The sequence below is a fragment of the Homo sapiens genome, chromosome 5 (assembly GCF_000001405.40).
Source record: "Homo sapiens chromosome 5, GRCh38.p14 Primary Assembly".
Lineage (NCBI taxonomy): Eukaryota > Metazoa > Chordata > Mammalia > Primates > Hominidae > Homo > Homo sapiens.
Genome location: NC_000005.10, coordinates 152,047,333 through 152,069,351, shown reverse-complemented (window position 1 = coordinate 152,069,351; position 22,019 = coordinate 152,047,333). Strand labels below are relative to the sequence as shown.

Genomic DNA, 22,019 nt, shown 5'->3' with positions numbered 1-22,019 from the left:
CATGATGGTAGCAGTGAGAATGCAGAGGAAGACATAAATCAAGGGGACATATGGATGCAGGTTCTTCCCGGAACGTTTCTCATCAAAAGTTAATAAGCAGGTAGGGACATACATCTGGGTTGGTGGAAGACACAGGTGGCGATCAGACTTGGCCGGCTCTATAAACTCTCTTCCACCCATAGAAGATTACATTTTACTGAAACTCAGGTGATGTCAAAGAGGGACAGAAAATATATTCTGTTATCATTCGTTTCTAAGTCTTATGCATGACCAGCCAGGAGTAAAAAAGAATATGTTTCTTAAGGTTCTCAGAAGGCTCAGAGCCATTTCCCAATGAATCATTTACTTATCCACATCTCTAAACCTACAGTTCTAGATCATTGACTTTGGAGCAGGAGTACTCCTAGGGCAAGCCTCTAATCACCATACCCCTTTCACTCTTGAATCAAGAGGGAGCCATTTAAGCAGCAAGCCTTCCAGTTAAACTCTTAAGTTGCTTGCTTGTCATGCAGAAGACCTGGGTTCAAGTCCCAGCTTTGACATTTATTAGCAGTTAATCACCATGCACATTAGCTAGTGATATACAAAACACCACTTAGAGATCAATGAACTAGAGCAATGGTACAGAAACATGAATCGGGCCGGGTGCAGTGGCTCACACCTGTAGTCCCAGCATTTTAGGAGCCTAAGGCAGGAGAATCACTTGAAGCCAGGAGGTTGAGACCAGAAACATGAATTCTCTTTGAGGATTCTCATTCATTGGACAAATATTCATTGACCATCTATTAAGTGCCAGGTACTGTGCTGGGTGCTGGAAAACAGTGACGAGCAAAACAGAGAAAGACTAATCAGGAAAGACTGACATAAAATAAAAATATTGTATGTATATATAAAATTGCAACTCTACCATGTGCCATGAAGGAGAGGTTCAGGATAATGTGAAAGCCTATAAAAGAAGGATTTGAACTAGTTGTAGAGGTCAGGGAAGGCTTAATCTAAGATCTGCAGGAGGAGTAGGTGCGGTTTAGGTAGAAGATGGGATGGAAAAACCACTCCAGGCAGAGATACGACCATGAACAAAGCACCTATGATTGAAACATGGTGAGCAGGAAGTTCAATAAGATGATCAGTAAGTCTGAGCAGAGAAAACACAAGAGACAGCATAATGGAAAATGAGCCTCAGGGAGAGCCAGGGCCCAGATCCTGATAGGTCTTATAGGCCATGTCCTTGAACATGTTTTAATCCTAAAATGAAGGAGAAACCACTAAAGAGATATTCAGCTGTAAGACTGGGTAGTAGGGGCTGGACACAGGATCATTACCTACCCCAAAAAAATCCCTCTGACTGGCCTGAAAGAGGCTAGAGTAACTGTAGGGTAACTAGCCTGGAGACTGTTGTAGCAGTCTAGCCAAGAGATAGTGCCAGATTTGACCAGGGAGGTGCTGGGCATGGCAAGAAATGGATACATTCAGTGTATATCAAAGAGGCCAAACCTACAGAACTTTCTAATGGGCCACATCGGAAAAGGTGTTTAAGAATAGCCTCAGGCTTCTGGCCTGCACAACTGGCCAAACAGAGGGGCCATTCACTCCGAGATAGAAACCTGAACATGATTAGGTTTGGGAGTTGATTATAACTCCTGCTTTTCAACACAGCAATTTGCAGTGCCTTTGAAGCACCTAAGAAAAATGTTAATTAGGCAGTTATATACGCATATCTGGGGCTCAAAATACACATTTGGAAATTATTAGTGTATAATGAATTGAATTGAATCTAAAGGCAATAACAAGATTATACAAGAAGTGAGAAGTGAGGGCCTATGATTGGGTTTGCAGAATGCAAACCAATTCCTCTATTCAACTCTCATGCTTCAAGGGCTCTCCTTTTTAAAATAATAAAAGCAGTGATGATGATCAGCTTTATTTATTTGTCCTTACTATTAACTTACTCTTCCCTGTAATATGAAGATATGCCCAAGCACTCTTGTCTCCACTTTACAAATGTGGATATTAAGGCTTAGAAAATATTATATTTGCCCAAGCTCACACAGCTAGTAAACGGCTGATTTCAAGCCTAGATATATCTTATTTCAAAAATATTCCTCTTAGCTTGGCTTCTCTATATCCATCACAGTACTGACACAGAGAAATAACAAGCACTACTAAACCTAACAAATACAAGGCAGTGAGTTGAGCCAGTGGAAGGACCATCGAGGGTAATGGTAAAAGACACCAACTAAACTCCTACAACTAATGTCGCTGCAGCCCACATGCTCAGCCTCTGGTGAATGTCAGTGTCTCTGCCTTGTTTTCTCCCTACATTAGTCCCCTGGGCAATATGAAGAATGGCTGTAATGACTTCACCCCCATGCTGACCTATTATAAGAGACAACTTACACCAAACCCCATGAGAGCCCTTGTGATACAGCAGAGCGAATTTCCATCCAAATAGGGAACACTTACTCCTCTTTGGCACTGGGCAAGTTACTTAACCCATCTCTGAAAAACAGGAACAGTAACATGCTTGCACCCTGGACTATTTTCAGGATTAAATCATAGAATGCTTGAGAGGATGCCCTGAAAACTTACATCAATGATGAAATCAAACTTATATGTGGGAAATCTTGTCTCTCTAATGGATGACGTTGAGCCACTCAGATCTATTTCAAGCACCAAACCAGATTAGTGAAGAGAAAATGATTGGAAGCAGCAGGTAACAAACAGGATCTATGAGAAACGTTGTTTTGTTTTTTAAAGATTGACGTTAATTCACCTTAAAAAGAGGGATGAGAAGAAGTTGACCTAATAAATTATTTCTCCTGCCAGGAAAAAAAATAGGATGATAAATGTGAATAAAGCTTAGCCTTTTGTAAAAACTAGGAAGTGTGCCTTGGTGGCCCCAGATATCCCTCATCATCATCATTCTCACTCTCATTGCTATCACTGTGCCAGGTACTTGATAATAATTCCAGGAGTGGTCGTAAGAGTAATATCAGTAGCTAACATTTTATTGATTAGTTACCATGTGCCAGCCACTGTGGACTAAATGCTATATGTGCATTATCTCACTGAGTCTTTGTTGAGTGACAGGTATTGATCAGAGGAGGAATCTATTCCATTGAAGGAGAGGAAGATATCAGGGTTGGTCAATGAATTCAAGGGAGCATGTACAAGTCACTGAGATTGTATGATAAAATAAAGGGGTACTGTGGCAGAAACTGCACTAAATGTCTACATTTTAGAGACTCCAGAGAGAGATGGACAGAGTGGGATTTGGGCCAAGTAAAGTTATTCTTTCAACAAACCCACACTGTACACACTCCACTCTGAATCCCCATCTATCTTGAATGAATTACACAGTATTTCAAGCTCTCTTCCAGTGTTACCTAAAACAACCACCACTACCACCCAGCTAACACATAAATTCAGCCCTTAAAATCTCCCAGGCAGTGTGCTCAGTATTTTTAAGCATTCGTTTAATTACCTCAACTATGTAATAAGGTAGACTTATATGAATCTGTTCATTTTAAATATAATGAATCTGAGGTTCAACAAAGTTTAATAATTTGGTCAAGATCACACAACTGATAAATGTCAGAGCCTAAATTCACAGGCAAGGGTATTTGAGTCTATCATTCAGGATCTTAATCAGGACATTTATTCCAGTTTCTCATCCAATGTGGCTGGTCTGCCCTCATTCAGGAGGAGATGCTCCATCATAAGACATATGTGTGAGATGCTTCTTTTATTTTTTTTATTTTTTACTTTAATTTTTATTATACTTTAAATTCTGGGATATGTGTGCAGAATGTGCAGGTTTGTTACTGGATAAAACGGTGCTTCTGAAGAAGACATTTTCTTCCTGAGGTTTGGATGAAAGTGAATCTGGGGGTATATGGAGTCCAGCAGAGACTATCCATGGTCTTAAGTTCTTTGTGGGCAAAGTGACTCATGGGTGATTGTCACCCACACATCATCTTCAAAAGCACCTTCAGTTCTCAGAGAGATTTTTAAACTCAAGAATTAGCAAAGTGAAATATGGGCCAAGATAATCTCCCACAGGAAACTAAACAGATTCTTTTTGTAGGAAAAAAGTGAAAAGACAGCTCATATGTGAAGCAAATTCACCCAGGGAAGCAATTAAGAAACTCAACATACTATTCATAGGAACAAAGCCACAGGCCTGGATTCAAGACCTTTCTCCAGACTCACTGCTCCAGGCCTCAGTTTTCTCATCTGAATAGAGAACCAGTTCGGACTGAAAAATTTCTGAGTTGCCTTCCAGCTCTGACAATCTATGATAATGTCATAAAATGCTTTCTAAGGAAACTGACAAGCGTTTGGAAGATTTAAGAAATGTCTGCTTTGGAGAAGAGCTGAGTAAAACCACCTCAGTGCCATTTACCTCCATCTTCCCCCAACATGCACGAAAAGCCAAACTACCCAACTCTTGGTTTCAGAAGTTTCTGTACCTGGCTTAATGTCCATATTACCCAGGTTTGAAGCCGTAGTAATATGGAAAGCATTGTTTCTGCCTTCTGTGCATTGTCAGACTGTACATGTCCCCGTTCTGACCACCTCTGGGGAATCAATGAGTGAAGGGAGATGCAGCGTTTATCTGTTTGGCAGATGAGATTCTGAATTGGAATTCATGGGGCCCCTGTTGGGTCTGTCATTCTTGCCTCCCCAGCATGTATTATAGCTTCCAGCAACAGCAGCTCCATTTTCCTTGGGAATCGTCTATTTTCCATTCGTATGGTTTAAACAGGGGCGATCCCTCTTACCAGCCAGACCTTGAGCCATCCACATAGTTCACCCACTGACCTTTGAGAGTGGCTTAGGGATGAGCATGCAATCCAGGCCAGGTCAAAAAGAACCTACCCCTGGACTTAATGTTGTAACTATTGGGAAACAGGTGCTTACTTTCTGTTGGAGCTGCTCACATACCAACCTGAAGTAAATATTTCCAACTTAGCTACCCCTGCAGGAAAATTTGTCTGAGAAAAGCCAACACAAAGGAAGGAAGATCCTGTACTCACAGGAATCAGATGATGGATAACAGTACTGGAGCACCTAGATTTCACCAAGCCTGAAGTTTAGCCCTTTATCTTTTCATGGTAATGGCAAATAATTTTTCTTCTTTTTTGACCAGTTCAAGCTGCATTTCTTTTCCTTGTAACCCCAAAAGTCTTGAATAATACATATTTTAGTAAGAAAAAGTCTTTATTCAATTTCTACTAACTAGGTATTGTGGGTATAAGCTGAAGCAATATATGTCACTGTCGTTTTCCTTGAGTAACTGACGCTATTGGTAGTTTAGGTTTCTTCAGGTTGTGACATTTTATAATTCTTGGTGGAGAAGCAATTTAAGCCACTGCACAGATGCCCAACAGCATTCACCATCTTCCCTTCCCTGCCCTGGGTTTATCCCACCTAGGTCTTCAGTCTCCTCCCAGGGTCTCACGTCATGCCCCAGCCAATCCTCTGATTCAGAAAGGATAAGAATCTTTCCCAAGACAATGTAACTAATAAATTTCTCAAGCCAGACTTCAGAGATAGCCTTAAATCTCTTTCCCTTGCCCTGGTCCCTAAATTTGTCTTGAAACTTTCCATCTCTCCATTTCCATTCCACCGTCATAGGCCAAGCCACCATCATCTCTTGCCTGGACCACTGTGACAGCCTCCAAATGCATTCTTTCTTTCTTTCAGATTTGCTCCCCTTAAACTATCCCATTGAATGGTATAATTATGGCTCCCTTGTTAAATTCCTCATTGGCTTCCCAGCTATACTTAGAATATTCCAAACTCCCTAGTTTTGCCCTAAAGGCTGCAGATGATCTGACCTTGCTTCCTCTGCAGCCACCCATCCCATTACTCTCCCTACCACCACCACTGCTCTTTAGACAACAAATCTTGGTTTTCTCTGGTATTTCAAACACACTAAGCCAGCTCCTGCCTCAGAGCCTTTGCGTGTGCTATAATGCTCCACTCCCCACCTGGCTGGTTTCTTCTTTTCCTTTGGGATTCAACTTGAATGTCATTTCCTCAATAAAGATGTGGCCATCACCACTGAGTTAGTCTTATTTCCATAACCCTAGTGATTTTATTGCACTGCCCTCATCACAATTTGATGTTATCTTGTGTATTTATTTACTTGTGTATAGTAGTCAGCCCTACTAGAATAGAAGCTCCATGAAATCTGAGACTTGGCCTGTTCTGTGCCCCAGGGTATTCTCAGCATCTATCAGGGTGCCAGGATTGTGGAAGATACATGCAGATAAGAAATATTTGTTGAATGGATGGATGAAAGCAGAGATGATAGGATTCTAATTTAGATCTGCTTAGATGTTAAGAGACTAAATATCACTTGTGGCAAGATTCCCAAACTTATAGTCAGTAATTCTATTCTTCATTGTGTTACATGAGAAACATCTCACCCATTTTGCTCTATAAAATGGGATTACTATGGTGCACTGTGAAGCTCAATTAGAAGACTGGTGGTCACAACTGAAACATCCAGAGAGGAAAAAAAAACCCATAACATATATCAGGTATTACAACTTATTGCACGCATATCCAGGAAGCCCCCAGACTGTTGCAATCTTCAACAAACTTTGGCTGAAATAGAAACAAAATAGACTTTCTAATCTCTAGTTTTTAATAAAAAAATTGAGGAAAGATGATGAATGTTAAGGCAATTGCAGTAGAAGATGTATTACCTTCCATTGTTCTCTGCTCAGATCTGTAGCTATTCCAGAAAGAGAGACTTGGTTACAAGGTAAATTTCATTTGTTTGGGATAAAGAACAATGTGACATTTTTGACAATGTACTGTAAAATATGCCACATTTTTTAAACAAAGTGAGATATAATAAAAATGAAATATAAGATTTCAGAGAAAAGCTAAGATTAGAAAAGAGCTCATAGCTCTTTTTAGACTGCACATATTTAGGGGGAAAAATCTCCATACCCTCATATGCAAATACAAATTAAATAACAACAAGGGTAATTAACTAATTATTTTGTGGCTTATTTAACATTTATCTTGCACTAGACTATAAGCTTCATAAAAGCAGGGACTATGTCTGTCTATGACTCCAGTGCGTAGCAGAGAGAGCTTGTACTCTAATGAATGGAATAGTAATGTGTAATACAAGCCTCTTGGGTTCTTTACAGGAGGAAATAACGCTTCGTAGAATCATTAAATTTCAAAATCATTGTGAAACTCAGTACAAGAACAATAGAGTTCACCCATGGACAAAAGATCCCTGCGGTGGGATGAGAAGGGGTTGAATGTCATCTCTCTGTTTAACCCAGCACTTAACAGTGGAGGTAGCTAAGTGCCAGACCCAGATAATTCCTAGAAAAATGTGGCCTGGGAACCCCAAGAGCAAAGGTGGAGATTATGGGAAGAAGCTAGGCCAGACTTTGCCTGTCAAGGCAGGACCAGTTGATGAAATCCTGGTTCCGAACCTGCCCCTAAATCTGGGTCACCTTAAATAAGTCACTTGCCCTCCTTGAAACTTCAGTCTCTATAGCCTCAAAGAAGAGGAAGGTAGATCAGAGATTCAAAGCCCCCCTCAGAACATTAACAATTAGTGGTTTTACAATGTGCCAGAAACAGGAAAGCTCTGAAACCAAGCCAAACTCTGCTTTAACAGAGCCTCCTAGGCCCTTTCTGTAATGCCAGGACCCAGTAACCCCCTTCCCTGGATATGGCCAGCCCACAGCAGAGACACTGTCCAGGGGAAACAACTACTCACATCCCAGCCTTCTACCACAATGGTTAAAATACAGAGTCTAGAGTCAGACAACCTGGATTCAAACCCCACAACTGCCATTTGTCAACTATGTGACCTTGAGCACAGCTCCAATTTCTTTATCTGCAAACTGGTGATAAATAGTGGTTATCTTCATCATGATGACATTATGAAGATTTCATGCCTAGCATATAATAAGTGCTCAATAAATGTTTGCTAGCACCATCATCACCATCAACACCGCCACTGGGTCATAGTTTCCTCCTCTTCCTGTCAAGTGCAGCCAACCCTGAAACTTCCTCTTATTTTATTCTCAGCTCCTTCAGAACTGCGTAAGCCCAAGCACATCATGCCACTGGTATAAATCAAAAGCACATGATCTCCCTTCACTGACTGGTCCCCATAAATCAGCATCACTCCCCAAACAGAGACAGATTCAGATTTCAAATTCATTTTCCAGTCTACCCTCTCTCTGGTGAAAGATGACTTCTCAAAGCAGAGTTTAGAGCGGAAAAGAAATTTTTAGAGATGACCCAGGTCAGCCCCCTCAGTTTACAGTTAGGAGCACTGAGGCCCAGAGAGGAAATGAGAGTTGCCCAATTAGAAACTGAGAATTGCAAAGATAAGTCTAGGACCCAGAAATCCTGATTCCCAGCCCTGCATAGTATTTACTCAGTGGCATAACGGGAGACAAAAAAGGGACGCAATCTGTCCCAGATATATGGGCAATAAGGACGTGCATTGTCTGTAGAGGATTTTGAATTTATTTATCATTTATTTATTTATTTATTTATTTATTTATTTATTTATTTATTTTTGAGACAGAATCTTGCTCAGTCTTGCCCAGGCTGGAGTACAATGGCACAATCTCAGCTCACTGCAACCTCTGCCTCCCAGGTTCAGGCAATTCTCCTGCCTCAGCCTCCCAAGTAGCTGGGATTGCAGATGTGAGCCACCACGCCTGGCTAATTTTTGTATTTTTAGTAGAGATGGGTTTTCACCATGTTGGCCAGTCTGGTCTCAAACTCCTGACTCAGGTGATCCACCCACCTTGGCCTCCCAAAGTGCTGGGATTATAGGCATGAGCCACCACGCCCAGCCAGTAATTTTTAAAATGATCAAAAAGCATCTGCTTTTTATTATTACCAGGTACCTGAAATCCTAAACAATGCCAGTGATAAAATATGCCTCCTTCCTCCCCCAAAAATCTTGGTTGGTCTAAGATCAAAATAATTGCTGAGGTTACTGTGGAACTTTGATAATATATAAATAAGTTTGGAATGTTTAGGCTCAGCCCCACAGATTAATTTCAAAAGAAAGTTTGTGACAGTTTGAAATTTGGGCCTGGTTCCTGCCTCCAGCCCCTGTTGCACTACATATTCCAGCATTTAAACAGTAGATTTGGAATAAACAAGGATAGCACAGTGATTGTAAAGCAGGGAAAACAGAAGTTGAGATCATTCAGTTCTGTCATTCTATGGAATCACTTAATGCTCCTATTTTGGTTTAAAATGTAAAACACTGAGACAGGTACAAAATGTAAAGTATAGCATCTTTGTTTGGTAAGTGAAAAATTTAGTGCAGATGTCAACTATTACCGAGTTTGAATAACACCTTTAAAAATAAAATGAATTCTAACCAGGCATGGTGGTAGGCAACCTGTAATCCCAGCTTCTCAGGAGGCTGAGGCTGGAGGATCGCTTGATCTCAGGAGCTCAAGGCTGCAGTGAGCTGAGGTTACAGCACTGAACTCTAGCCTAGATGACAGAGCGAGATCTCCTGTCTCTAAAAAATAAGTAAATAAGTAAAATGAATGATTCTGATGTGTTGATTGTTTTAAAACCAAAGGTTGTTTCTGATCGTTATATAGTTATTTCTGAAAATAATTCTGTTGTCTAATTGAGGGAGGCAATATTAAATGATCTTCTCCAAATGTCAAATACGCTAAGTACGCCACTGTTTTTGTTACACAGTAATATATGAAGGTTGGAAGAAGCTCTTACTGCTCACTCCTGATATTTCCTTTTACTCGGAGCAGTCTTCCTTGTTATAAAACCTAAACCTTTCCCCAGCCTCTTTTGCCCCATCTCAACCCTCCCCACTCCCCTGATCTCTGCACTCTTTGCAGAGAGGAGCTTATAAATAAGGATTTGAGGACAGGTATACAAAGCTCTACAATTGTTTCTCTTCCTTATTGGGCCAGGTGACCTACAGAGAACTCACACCCATCGTCTTGGCAGTGAATTGTACAAAAGTAGGTTTTCCCAAGAAAGGAGCTTGTGCCGGCCAGGATGGAGTAGCAGGGCTTTGTTATTCTGTCCATTCAGGCTACATCCTCCAGTGTTAGCTTTCCGGTAGTAAAAGTGGCATTTTGATCTCACTTCTGATTTATTTCTTTGTCTTATTTCTTAATGCAGATTTCTGACACAGAACTCAAGCCAAAGAGTTACGATTTATTAGACCCCTCATACCCTAACAATCAGGATGATAATAATGATGCTAACAATAATAACTTTGTTCAAAGCCATCAATGTTTTGAATATTTACTGTGTCAGGCACTGTGATGAATTTAAATGCGTGATCTTACTGAATCTCCCTGACACATCTTTGAGGCAGGTTCCATTGTTGTCTCTATGTTACAGATGAGAAAATTGAGGTTTAAAGACTAATAAACTTGCCCACCACCACGCAGCTAGCAAATGGCGGCAGAGGACTTGAACTGCCTTGATCAATTCAGAGCCCAAACACTTCCCCACTATACCGTTTTGCTTAATGGTGGGAGAAAACTTCTTTATGGACCCTACTGGTTAAACTTAGAACTAATGTTCTCGGGATTCCTTGGGCCTCCAGCTATTGAGATTAGGAAAAGGGCTCATGTTCCCTTGCTTCTGTGTTCTGTTGATTTGCTCTCCCTCACCTTACCCCAAGTGACAAGTCCAGGAGATTTAATTTGGAGATGGGCTCCGTGCTATAAACACGGAGCACAGCAGTCTGGTCGAGCCCAGCTCTGTGGCCCCACCTTTGCTGGTCATCTTGTCTAAAAGTCTTGCTTTCCAACTTGACTTGGCACTTCCCCACACTAGGACTGCCAGCTACAGTATCTTCAGCCTGAAAGGGGCCAGGGCAGCACATACTGCTACAAGGTGACAAACTCAGCTCACGCCACGCCTTCTTGGCAGAACCTGCCACCACTTTCTGGCGCAATTTCAGGAGCACTGGAATATGCCAATCTGCTTCTACCCAAAAAGTACCTTTCCTTCCCCCCATTCAACTGGCTTATCTTGGGGCCTGAATTTCCACCATTATAACTGTAACCCTTTGATGTAAGACATTATCCCACATTAAAAAGCAAGATGTTCAATGAAAAGTCACAGTCTAAGCCTCAGTTTCTTCCCGTACAGTGGGATTATACACAATACCCACTTCAGAGGGTTGATGTGAGAACTAAAAGAGATCATACATGTTACAAACTTTATGTTTTGTTCCTGGCGCAATATACATACACGATAGATATTAGCAGTTACCACATCACCATCACTAAATTTGGATGTGTTCATTTATATGATTTCCTTTTTCAAGTGTTTAGGTATGGAATGTAGAACTAATCCCAAGACACAGTCAATCCACCTGGGAGTTGGGAAATTTGAATTCTGACTCTGATTTGGCCATTAATTCTCTATGTTCTAGGAATGCCACACATATTCTTTGAGCCTGTTTAATTGTCTTCATTCTCCTCATCACTGTTACATAAAAAACTTTTTATTTCTACAACCTATTTTGGTCCACAGATCTGTTTGATATTCCCTATCTTATTTAGGCTTCCCAGTAAACCTAGATCGGGGGCAGACATGGTATTTGAGGCTCCAAGGATGTAAGAGACTTTCCCAAAGATCACAGAGCTAGCTAAGGGCAGAACCAGCACAACTTCCAGAAGGCATCACCCAGCCTCCAGCCCAAGAGTAGTTTGCCAGCATGAAAGTTAGAGAATTTCAGAGCTGGGAGAGCTTTCTAGGTAGTCTCATTCAGTGATGGTGACTACCTAGCCCATAAGAGCCTCTTCTCCATTCCAAATCTATGGCAGGTATCACTAATTGAACATGAAAATAATTCTATCAATATTTCTCAGCACAGTGATCCAAGAATTTACCACTGAATCAAAGCTGCACATGGGACAAACTCATCATTCTTTTCCCATCCAGACCAGAGGTTGGCAATCTACAGTCCAGACATATATTGCCAGCCTATGAGTTTCTAACATCTCTTAGTTTGTGGTTCTCAAGCTTGAACATGCCTACAAATCACATCTGCATCTTGTTAAAATGCAGATTCACATTCGGTAGGTCCAGGTTGTAGCCCAAGTGCTGCATTTCTACCAAGCTCCCAGGTGCCGCAGCTGCCGTAGGTTCAAAGACCACATATTGGGTGGCAGATTCCTAGGGGATGTGGTGGAGATGCTCCACCTCTCTGTGTACACAAGCCTCAAACTGATACTCTTTAGGAATGTCGATCCTGTCCCAAAGCTGTCCCTTGAGCACACATGTGTTGGAAAGAAGAACAGGAGAGGGCATGCAGTATGATAGTCTTCTCCCTTTCCTGTACCCCTCCGCACATAGCTGCATGCACGCACGCACTCACTCATGCACACATTCAGAGACTCTTTTCAGGCTTTTAGGGGTATTTGTATGGTTTGGCAGATAGCACACTAACCTGGGAATTAAGAAACCTGACTTCTAGCCTTGCCTCTTCAACTTTCTGTGTGATCTTGGCCAAGACACTCCAGTTTGTCTACTTCCTCCTAAAAGGATCCTACCCTGAAGCGAGCATAGTCTAAAAGCTTCTCACAAAAGCCATCTTGCCACCTTGCCCCAAGATCCACTTTCTTCCTTGGAAGGTTAGGGGAATACAAATCTAGAAGGCATAGAGGTATGGCTTGGGTACTTAGCCAATTTCCCACCAGGTTTGTGATGGGAAGTGACGGATGAGCAGTAAGACTCAAAGTGTCTGTGCTTAAAGGACCACAGCACCCAGCCAGTCCAACCTCTTCATTGATTATCATGCTCCTCCTTGTTTATTCATCTTGTTTAAAACAAAGGACCCCAAACACCTTTGCCCTAGAGCCTCAAGCAAGGTTTAGCAACTAAAATATACTTAGAAACTCCAACAAATCTTACAAACCATAGCAGCGTTTTAATGACCCTGAAGTAAATCCTGATTTGGAAAAAAAAATAAAATAATAAGGCTTATTTTCCCTGCCAACTTAAAAGTATCTTCACCCCAGCGGCCCTGTCCTTACTGTGAGGGGAGATGCAATGATGCTGATTCCACGGGCTGGAACGGCCAGAGCCAGCTGGAAATCAGGAGATCCGGGCTCTAGTCCAGCTCTGGCAGCATCAGACAAGTCTGATTCTCAGTTTCTTCATCCATCAAATGGAGATAATAATAGCAAACATGTATTGAGTACATAATATATGGCAGGCACTATTGTTTTTATTGCTATTTAATCTTCACAAATGCCCTAATCTATTTGTACCATGTTACCTAATTTACAGATGAGAAAACCACAACTTGGGGAGGTTTAACACCATGGAAAAGCCCCATAACAAATTGGCCATCTTTTTTTTTTTTTTTTTGAGATGGGGGTCTCACTATGCTGTCCAGGCTGGTCTCAAACTCCTAGGTTCAAGCAATCCTCCCACCTCAGCCTCCTGAGTAGCTGGCATTGCAGGCATGTGCCACCATGCCTGGCTGTCAAGTTGGTCTTCTCAACTCCAAACTTTTGCTCAAAACCCTTGCATTAAACCACCTTTTCTTACTCTGTAGCATTCACAGAATTTCTGTTATGATTCAAATAATAAGGTAGATGTGAAAATCACTTCATATTCCTAAGTGCTGTATACATATTGTTGTGATTGTTATGGTAAAGCAATGAATGCCAAGCAGAGAAATCTCACGCACAAGAGTAGGGGGGTTAAACAAGGAGGAATTGGGGTTCTTCTCAGGGAGCCTTAGACATAAACATCTCTCGATTCCACTTCTCTGTAATCTCATGGCCCTAACTAATCCCTCACTCCCACCTCCCTGCCCCAACACTCCACCACCACGTACACACATATACACAGCCTCCATTACCTGCTGCTTACCTTCTGCCCTGGATATACCCAGCTAAAGTCCATAGCAATCTCTGGCTCACCCAGAACCATGTAGGTCACACTGAAGTTTTCTCCTAGTTGGACTGATGTTGCTGAAGCTTGGATGGTGGGCTTAGGGGAGGAAGATAGGTCTGTCATGGATTAGAGGGTAGAGAAGTTAGAGACAAACATGTTGACTTGATTGTTAGAATTGTTGAATTGATGGTAGGTGGAGGGATGGAGAGATGGATGAATAGTAATACCCATCTCTTTTTATAGAGACCCTACCAAACAGGATATACTTCCACATGTCTAATTAACCCCATCACTTTAGAAATTCCCTGGGGTCTCTCAGAGCTGACCTCACTTCACAGTTTTACCTTTGGTTTTCATCCTTCTTCTCATAGGTGGGTAATAAGAGGTGAAAGGGAGGAAAAGTTGAAGATTCCTTCTTTGTAAAGCGAGCTGCCTTTTAATCCAATTCTCCTGTCTCCCACTCTCTCGTTATAGTTATGGATTTGGGCAGCTTCTTGCCATGGTTACACAATCTTCTGATTAAATTCTGCCAGCCAGCCAGCTCCAGTTTCAGAAAGTGAATGAATAAACAAACTGCTGCACTAAACCAAAGGAGAAGACACACCCTTGGGTACAAGGAGAGTTCCCTGAAGGCCAAGTCAATTGAAACCATATTAAAAGGAGTATAGAGGCCTAAATATAGGAGGGGAAAAGGATGGCCTTATTCTAGTTGAACTGCATTCAAGAAACAAAAACTGATAGAAGTAAAATGTGGCTAGAACTTGGAAGCAGAGCAGATGATTAGGTGTAAGACACTGGATAAGCCCCTTTGCTTCTGTAAGACTCAGTTTCTTTAGCTGCCACATGGCAGAATCATATTCACTAGCAATTGTAAGGCACTGACTGTGTGCCAGGTACTATGCCAAGCACTGTAACAGTTAATATGTAACACGTAGATTATTTGAAAGAACTGAAGTTGTTTAGCCCAAGGAAAAGCAGACTGGGAAGGAAAAGATGAATTTAAGTATGTACTATAATGTGAAAGAAATACTAAGTTTATTTTGTGTTCCTTTAGGCTTTAGAGTTGAAAGAGCATGAAATTACATCAGACCTCAGGGTGAGTACTGGATCTGCCAGTGCCTCACTTTTTGACATTAGAACATTTATTAACCCTCCTTGGCCTCAGTTTTCTGGCCTGCAAAATAGGGATAATGCCACCTACCTCATACATTACAGGGAGGGCTCAATTAATGTAGGTAAATGGTATTAAGTACATAACACACACTAAGAGCTCAATAAATGTTTATTTCTTCTTTATCCACAGAGAATTAGAAATAATGGACAATTGCTCCATACCATGACCTCGACCAAAGGGAGACCTGGATAGCTTAAGGATTTTGTACCATTTACTTGAATGCAACCCTCACCCTGGCTATAATTATTGTATATTCACATGCATCTATACCAAGTTAAATTTGGGACCCACTCCAAACTTAATAATTAGGATTCTCAAACACAGGAGGGTGGGGAAAAATCCACTCATTCTATCAAAATAAACAATAGAGCTTTCTTTCCCTTATAATCCTATTAGCTTTTGTAATAGAAGTAGACTGCTTTATAACTGGTAAGTTCCCTCAGGGGAAGGATTGCATTCATCTTTTTTACCGCAGGAATACCAGCACCAAGCACGGTGCATACATTGTGAGTGCTCTATAGATAGGTCCCTGATTAATAATGTCACTTCTCTGTCACTTTACTTTTTACTTGGGTATCCTTTGCCCCCATTCCTCCACCTTTACTCCTAAGAACATAAACTCCAGAGCAGAGGATGACATACTCATCTAATTTCCTTTATTTCAGACATGTTAATATTACCAAATTTATATTTGCAGCCCAGACCTCACCCATGAGCTCTAGATTTACATATCCAACTTTTTGCCTAGTCTAGGTGTTTAATCCAAAATAAATAAATACTTCAAAGGACCCTGAATATGCCCCCAAAGAAATCTTAAATCTACCTTCAAACAAATGAATAAATAAAAGCCAGCCCACCCCCCATTTTCCTCATCTTAAATAATGATACCATCATCTGTCTAATTGTTTAGATTAAAAAAATCTAAAATTCATTCTTGATTCCTCATTATCAATCTACATTTAATCCATCAGCCAGTCTTGTCAGTTCTGTCAAAATGGAGCCTTCCCTCAGTAACCACAGGGGATTGGTTCTAGGACCTCCCTCAGATATAAAATCCAATCCACAGATGCTCAAGGCCTTGATATAAAATGGCAGAGAGGTCGGGTGAGGTGGCTCAAGCCTGTAACCCTAGCACTTTGGGAGGCTGAGGCGGGCAGGTGACTTGAGCTCAGGAGTTTGGGACCAGCCTGGGCAACATGGCAAAACCAAGCCAAGCATTATTGCGCACTCCTCTAGTCCCAGCTACTCGAGAGGCTGAAGTAGGAGGATCACTTGACCCTGGAAGGCCAAGGCTGTAGTGAGCTGTGATTATGCCACTGCACTCCAGCCTGGGTGACACAGCAAGACACTGTTTCAAAAAAATAAAAATAAAAATGGCAGACAAAAGGCAGGACTAACTTGAAGCTCCCACTCAGACAGACAGAACAGTGTGTGTAGACTCACATTGTAAACTTTTGCTCCAAGAACTACTGTGGGAACATACCAGGAAAGCTGAGAGAATCCACAGACCCTCTGAAGGAAGGGGTGTGCCACTGCAAGCTCGGTGAGACAGCCAAAACACTGTGAGTGCCCAGAGTGTGAGAGGAGGAATGTCTGCCCTCGAACACACATCCTCAATGGGGAACCTGAAGGTCCAGATGACAGGAGAAGCATTTGACCTTATGTGGAGGTGAGATGAATTTAGAGAACTGAGCAAAATATAGGGGTAGAGGAAGCAGCAGTAAAAGCCCTGTGGGCGCTCTCAGTCCCCAGAAAAGCCATTCCTGACTGTCTCTCACAGTTGCTTGGGGAGGGCTGCCAGTGGAACTGGGGAAAGACCACAGGGAGAAGAAAACTTCCAGCTGAACTTTGTAACAATTTTGACCAAATGCAAAGATTCCCCGGACAGAATCCAGGGCAGGAGGCAAACCAGGAGTGCAGATACCAGCACAGAAGCTACCACAGGCAGGGAGGCGTAAAATCTGAAAGCCCTGCTTGCTTTCTCAGCAGGGAGGCTTGTAGCTTGAGGGCAAGTTCTCAGCCCTGCTCACTGATTGCCTGGAAATAAACTCAGTGCTGTTGTTGGGGGTGGAACTCAGTGCTGTTGGGGCAGGGGTGGGGACGGGCGTGTGGGGGGCGGGGGGGTTGTGGCACAGTGCGAATGAGACTAGCCTTTTAGGCTGCATGGGAGCTGGGTGAGGCCTGTCACTGTCGGCTTTCCCCTACTTCCCTGGTGACCTGTGTGATGCAGCCATAATCCCCCTGGGAATGTAACTCCATCAGCCTGAGAACTACCTCCCGATCCACAACAGCAGCCACAGCAAGTGCCGCCCAAGGAAAGTCTGAGCTCAGACATGCCTAACCCTGCTTCTACCTGATGGTCTTTCTCTACCAGCCCCAAGTAGCCAAAGACAAAGGACACAATCTCTTGTGAGCCTCTATGGTCCCACCTACCACCTAAGAAACCGAAGTACTTATTCAAGCAAAAGCATCAGGTAACCTACAAAGGAAAATCTATCAAATTAACATCAGATTTCTCAGCAGAAACTCTACAAGCTAGAAGGGATTGGTGTCTTATATTTTGCCTCTTTAAACAAAATGATTATCAGCCAAGAATTTTGTATCCAGCAAAATTAAGCTTCATAAATAAAGGAAAGATACAGTCCTTTTCAGACAAACAAATGCTGAGAGAATTCACCAACTACCACACCAGTACTACAGGCACTGCTAAAAGGAACTCTAAATCTTGAAACAAATGCTTGAAATACACCAAAATAAAACCTCCTTAAAGCACAAATCTTACAGGACCTGTAAAACAATAACAAAATGAAAAAAAAAAAAAGACCCAAGTTATTCAGGCAACAACTAACATGATAAACAGAATAGTACCTCATATCTCAATACTAACGATGAGGGTAAATGGCCTAAACGCTCCACTTAAAAGATACAGAATGGAAGAATGGATAAGAATTCACCTACCAAGTATCTGCTGTCTTCAAGAAACTCACCTGACACATAAAGACTCACATAAACTTAAGGTAAAGGGGTAGAAAAAGATATTCCATGTAAATGAACACCAAAAGCAAGCAGGAGTAGCTATCATTAGACAAAACAGACTTTAAAGCAACAACAGTTAAAAAAGACAAAGAGGGACATTATATAATGATACAAGGACTAGTCCAACAGGAAAATATAACAATCCTGAATATATATGCACCTAACACTGGTGCTCACAAGTTTATAAAACAATTACTACTAGACCTAAGAAATGAGATAGATGGCAACACAATAGTGGGGGACTTCAATACTCCACTGACAGCACTAGACAGGAAATCAAGACAGAAACTCAACAAAGAAACAATGGACTTAAACTATACCCTAGAACAAACAGACTTACCAGATATTTACAGAACATTCTACCCAACAACTGCAGAACATAGAATCTATTCATTAGCACTTAGAACATTCTCCAAGATAGACCATATGATAGGCCACAAAACAAGTCTCAATAAATTTAAGAAAATCAAAATTATATCAAGTACTCTCTGAGACCACAGTGGAATAAAATTGGAAATCAACTCCAAAAAGAACCCTCAAAACCATGCAAATACATAGAAATTAAATATCTTCCTCCTGAATGATCATTGGGTCAATAAAATCAAGGTGGAAATTTAATAATTATTTGAACTGAACAATAATAGTGATAAAACCTATCAAAACCTCTGAGATACAGCAAAAGCAGTGCTAAGAGGAAAGTTCATAGCATTGAATGCCTACATAAAAATTTTTGAAAAAGCACAAATGAACAATCTAAGGTCACACCTCAAGAAACTAGAGAAATAAGAACAAAGCAAACCCAAACCCAGAAGAAGAAAAGAAATAACAAAGAACAGAGCAGGACTAAATGAAATTGAAACAAAATATGAAAGATAAATGAAACAAAAAGCTGGTTCTTTGAAAAGATAAAATTGATAGACTATTAGTGAAATTAACCAAGAAAAGAAGAGAGAAGATCCAAATAAGCTCAAATTAGAAATGAAACAAGAGATATTACAACTGATAGCAAAGAAATACAAAAGATCATTCAAGACTACTATGAATACCTTTATGCACACAAACTAGAAAACCTAGAGGAGATGAATAAATTTCTGGAGATATACAACCCTCCTAGATTAAACCAGGAAGAAAAAGAAACTCTGAACAGACCAATAACAAGCAGCAACATTGAATGGTAATAAAAATAATTACCAAGAAAAAAAAGTCCAAGACCAGATGTCTTCATAGGTGAATTCTATCAGACATTCATAGAAGAATCTGTACCAATCCTATTGACACTATTTCCAAAGGTAGAGAAAGAGAATCCTCCCTAAATCATTCTGTGAAGGCAGTATCACCCTAATAGCAAAACCAGAAATGGGCATAACAAGAAAGAAAACTACAGATCAATATCCCTGATGAACATAGATGTAAAAATCCTCAACAAAAATACTAGCTTACTGAACCCAACAGTATATCAAAAAGATAATCCACCATGATCAAGTGGGTTTCATACCAAGAATGCAGGGATAGTTTAATGTAAGCAAATTAATAAATGTCATACACTACATAAACAGAATTAAAAATAAAAATCACATGATCATCTCAATAGATGCAGGAAAAGCATTTGACAAAATCCAGCATCCCTTTATGATTAAAACTCAGCAAAATTGGCATACAAGGGACATACCATAAATAATAAAAGCCATTTATGACAATCCCACAGGCAACATTATACTGAATGGGGAACAGTTGAAAGCATTCTCCCTGAGAATGGGAACAAGATAAAGATGCCCACTTTTACCACTTCTATTCAACATAGTACTGGAAGTCCTAACCAGAGCAATCAGACACGAGAAAGAAATAAAGGTCATTCAAATTGGTAAAGAGGAAGTCAACCTGTCACTGTTTGCCAATGCTATGATCATATACCTAGAAAATCCTAAAGACTCATCCAAGAAGCTTCTATTAATAGATCTGATAAATGAATGCAGTAAAGTTTCTGGATACAAAATTAATGTACACAAATCAGTAGCACTGCTATCCACCAACAGAGACCAAGCTGAGAATCTAATCAAGAACTCAACCCCTTTCACAACAGCTGCAAAAAAAAAATAAAATAAAACACTTAGGAATATACCTAACCAAGGAGGTAAAAGTCCTCTACAAAGAAAACTACAAAACACTGTTGAAAAAAATCATCGATGACACAAACAAATGGAAAGACATCCTATGCTCATGGATGGGTAGAATCAATATTGTGAAAATGACCATATTGCCAAAAACAATGTACAAATCCAATGCAATTATCATCAAAATACCACCATCATTCTTCACAGAACTAGAAAAAACAATCCTACAATTCATATGAAACAAAAGCAGAGCCCACATAGCCAAAGCAAGACTAAGCAAAAAGAACAAATCTGGAGCCATCACACTACCTGACTTCAAACTATACTATAAGGCTATAGTCACCAAAACAGCATGACACTGGTATAAAAAATAGGCACACAGACCCATGGAACAGAATAGAGAACCCAGAAATAAACTCAAATACTTACAGCTAACTGATCTTTGACAAAGCAAACAAAAACATAAGTTGGGGAAAGGAAAACCTATTTACCAAATGGTGCTGGGATAATTGGCTAGCCACATGTAGAAGAATGAAACTGGATCCTCATCTCTCACCTTATATAAAAAAAAGTCAACTCAAGATGGATCAAAGACTAAAATCTAAGACCTGAAACCATAAAAATCCTAGAAGATAACATTGGAAAAACCCTTCTAGATATCAGCTTACGCAAAGACTTCTTGACCCAGAACCCAAAAGCAAATGCAACAAAAAAAAAAGATAAATAGGTGGGATTTAATTAAACTAAAGAGCTTTTGCACAGCAAAAGAACAGTCAGCAGAGTAAACAGACACCCCACAGAGTGGGAGTAAACCTTCGCAAACTATGCATCTGAGAAAGGACTATTATCCAGAACCTACAAAGAACTCAAACAAAACAGCAAGAAAAAACAAATAATCCCATCAAAAAGTGGGCTAAGGACCTGAATAAACAGTTCGCAAAAGAAGATATACAAATGGCCAACATACATATGAAAAAATGCTCAGCATTGCTAATGATCAGGGAACTGCAAATCAAACCACAATGTGATACCACCTTACTCCTGCAAGAATGGCCATAATGAAAAAATCAAAAAATAATAGATGTGGGCGTGGATGTGGTGAAAAGGGAACACTTTTACACTGTTGATGGGAATGTAAAGTGGTACAACCACTATAGAAAACAGTGTGGAGATTTCTTGAAGAACTAAAAGTAGATATACCATTTGTTCCAGCAATCTCACTACTGAGTATCTAACCAAAGGCAAAGAAGTCATTGCACGAAAAAGATACTTGGATACACATGTTTATAGTTGCATAATTTGTAATTCCAAAACTATGGAACCAGCTCATATGTCTATCAATCAACAAGTGGATAAGGAAAATGTGATACACACACACACACACACACACATACATATACATACACACACACACCATGATATACTACTCAGCCATAAAAAGGAACAAAATAATGGCATTTGCAGCAACGTAGATGGAGTTGGAAACCATTATTCTAAGTGAAGTAACTCAAGAATGGAAAACCAAACATCATATGTTCTCACTCATAAGTGGGAGCTAAGCTATGAGGATGCAAAGGCATAAGAATGATACAATGAATGGATTTTGGGGATGTGGAGGAAAGGGTGGGTGGAGAGTGAGGGATAAAAGACTACACATTGGGTACAGTACACACTGCTTAGGTGATAGATGCATCAAAATCTTGGAAATTACCACTGAAGAACTTAGCCACGTAACCAAACACCACCTGTTCCCCAAAAACCTATTAAAATAATAA

The 22,019-nt window shown here is 40.6% G+C and overlaps 1 long non-coding RNA gene across 1 annotated transcript in view, besides 2 other annotated features; it reads right to left on the bottom strand.

Annotated features, from left to right (window-relative positions):
• Positions 1–22,019, bottom strand: part of LINC01933 (long intergenic non-protein coding RNA 1933) — a 311,552-nt gene that overhangs the window by 201,098 nt on the left and 88,435 nt on the right. The window lies entirely within an intron of this gene.
• Positions 16,328–16,974: an enhancer, noted in NCBI's record as "NANOG-H3K27ac hESC enhancer chr5:151431939-151432585 (GRCh37/hg19 assembly coordinates)". NCBI's record gives its function as "activates a minimal SCP1, AML or CMV promoter by ChIP-STARR-seq in naive H9 embryonic stem cells {active_cell/tissue: H9 hESC(naive)}" and the evidence as "EXISTENCE:reporter gene assay evidence [ECO:0000049][PMID:30033119]".
• Positions 16,975–17,622: an enhancer, noted in NCBI's record as "NANOG-H3K27ac hESC enhancer chr5:151431291-151431938 (GRCh37/hg19 assembly coordinates)". NCBI's record gives its function as "activates a minimal SCP1, AML or CMV promoter by ChIP-STARR-seq in naive H9 embryonic stem cells {active_cell/tissue: H9 hESC(naive)}" and the evidence as "EXISTENCE:reporter gene assay evidence [ECO:0000049][PMID:30033119]".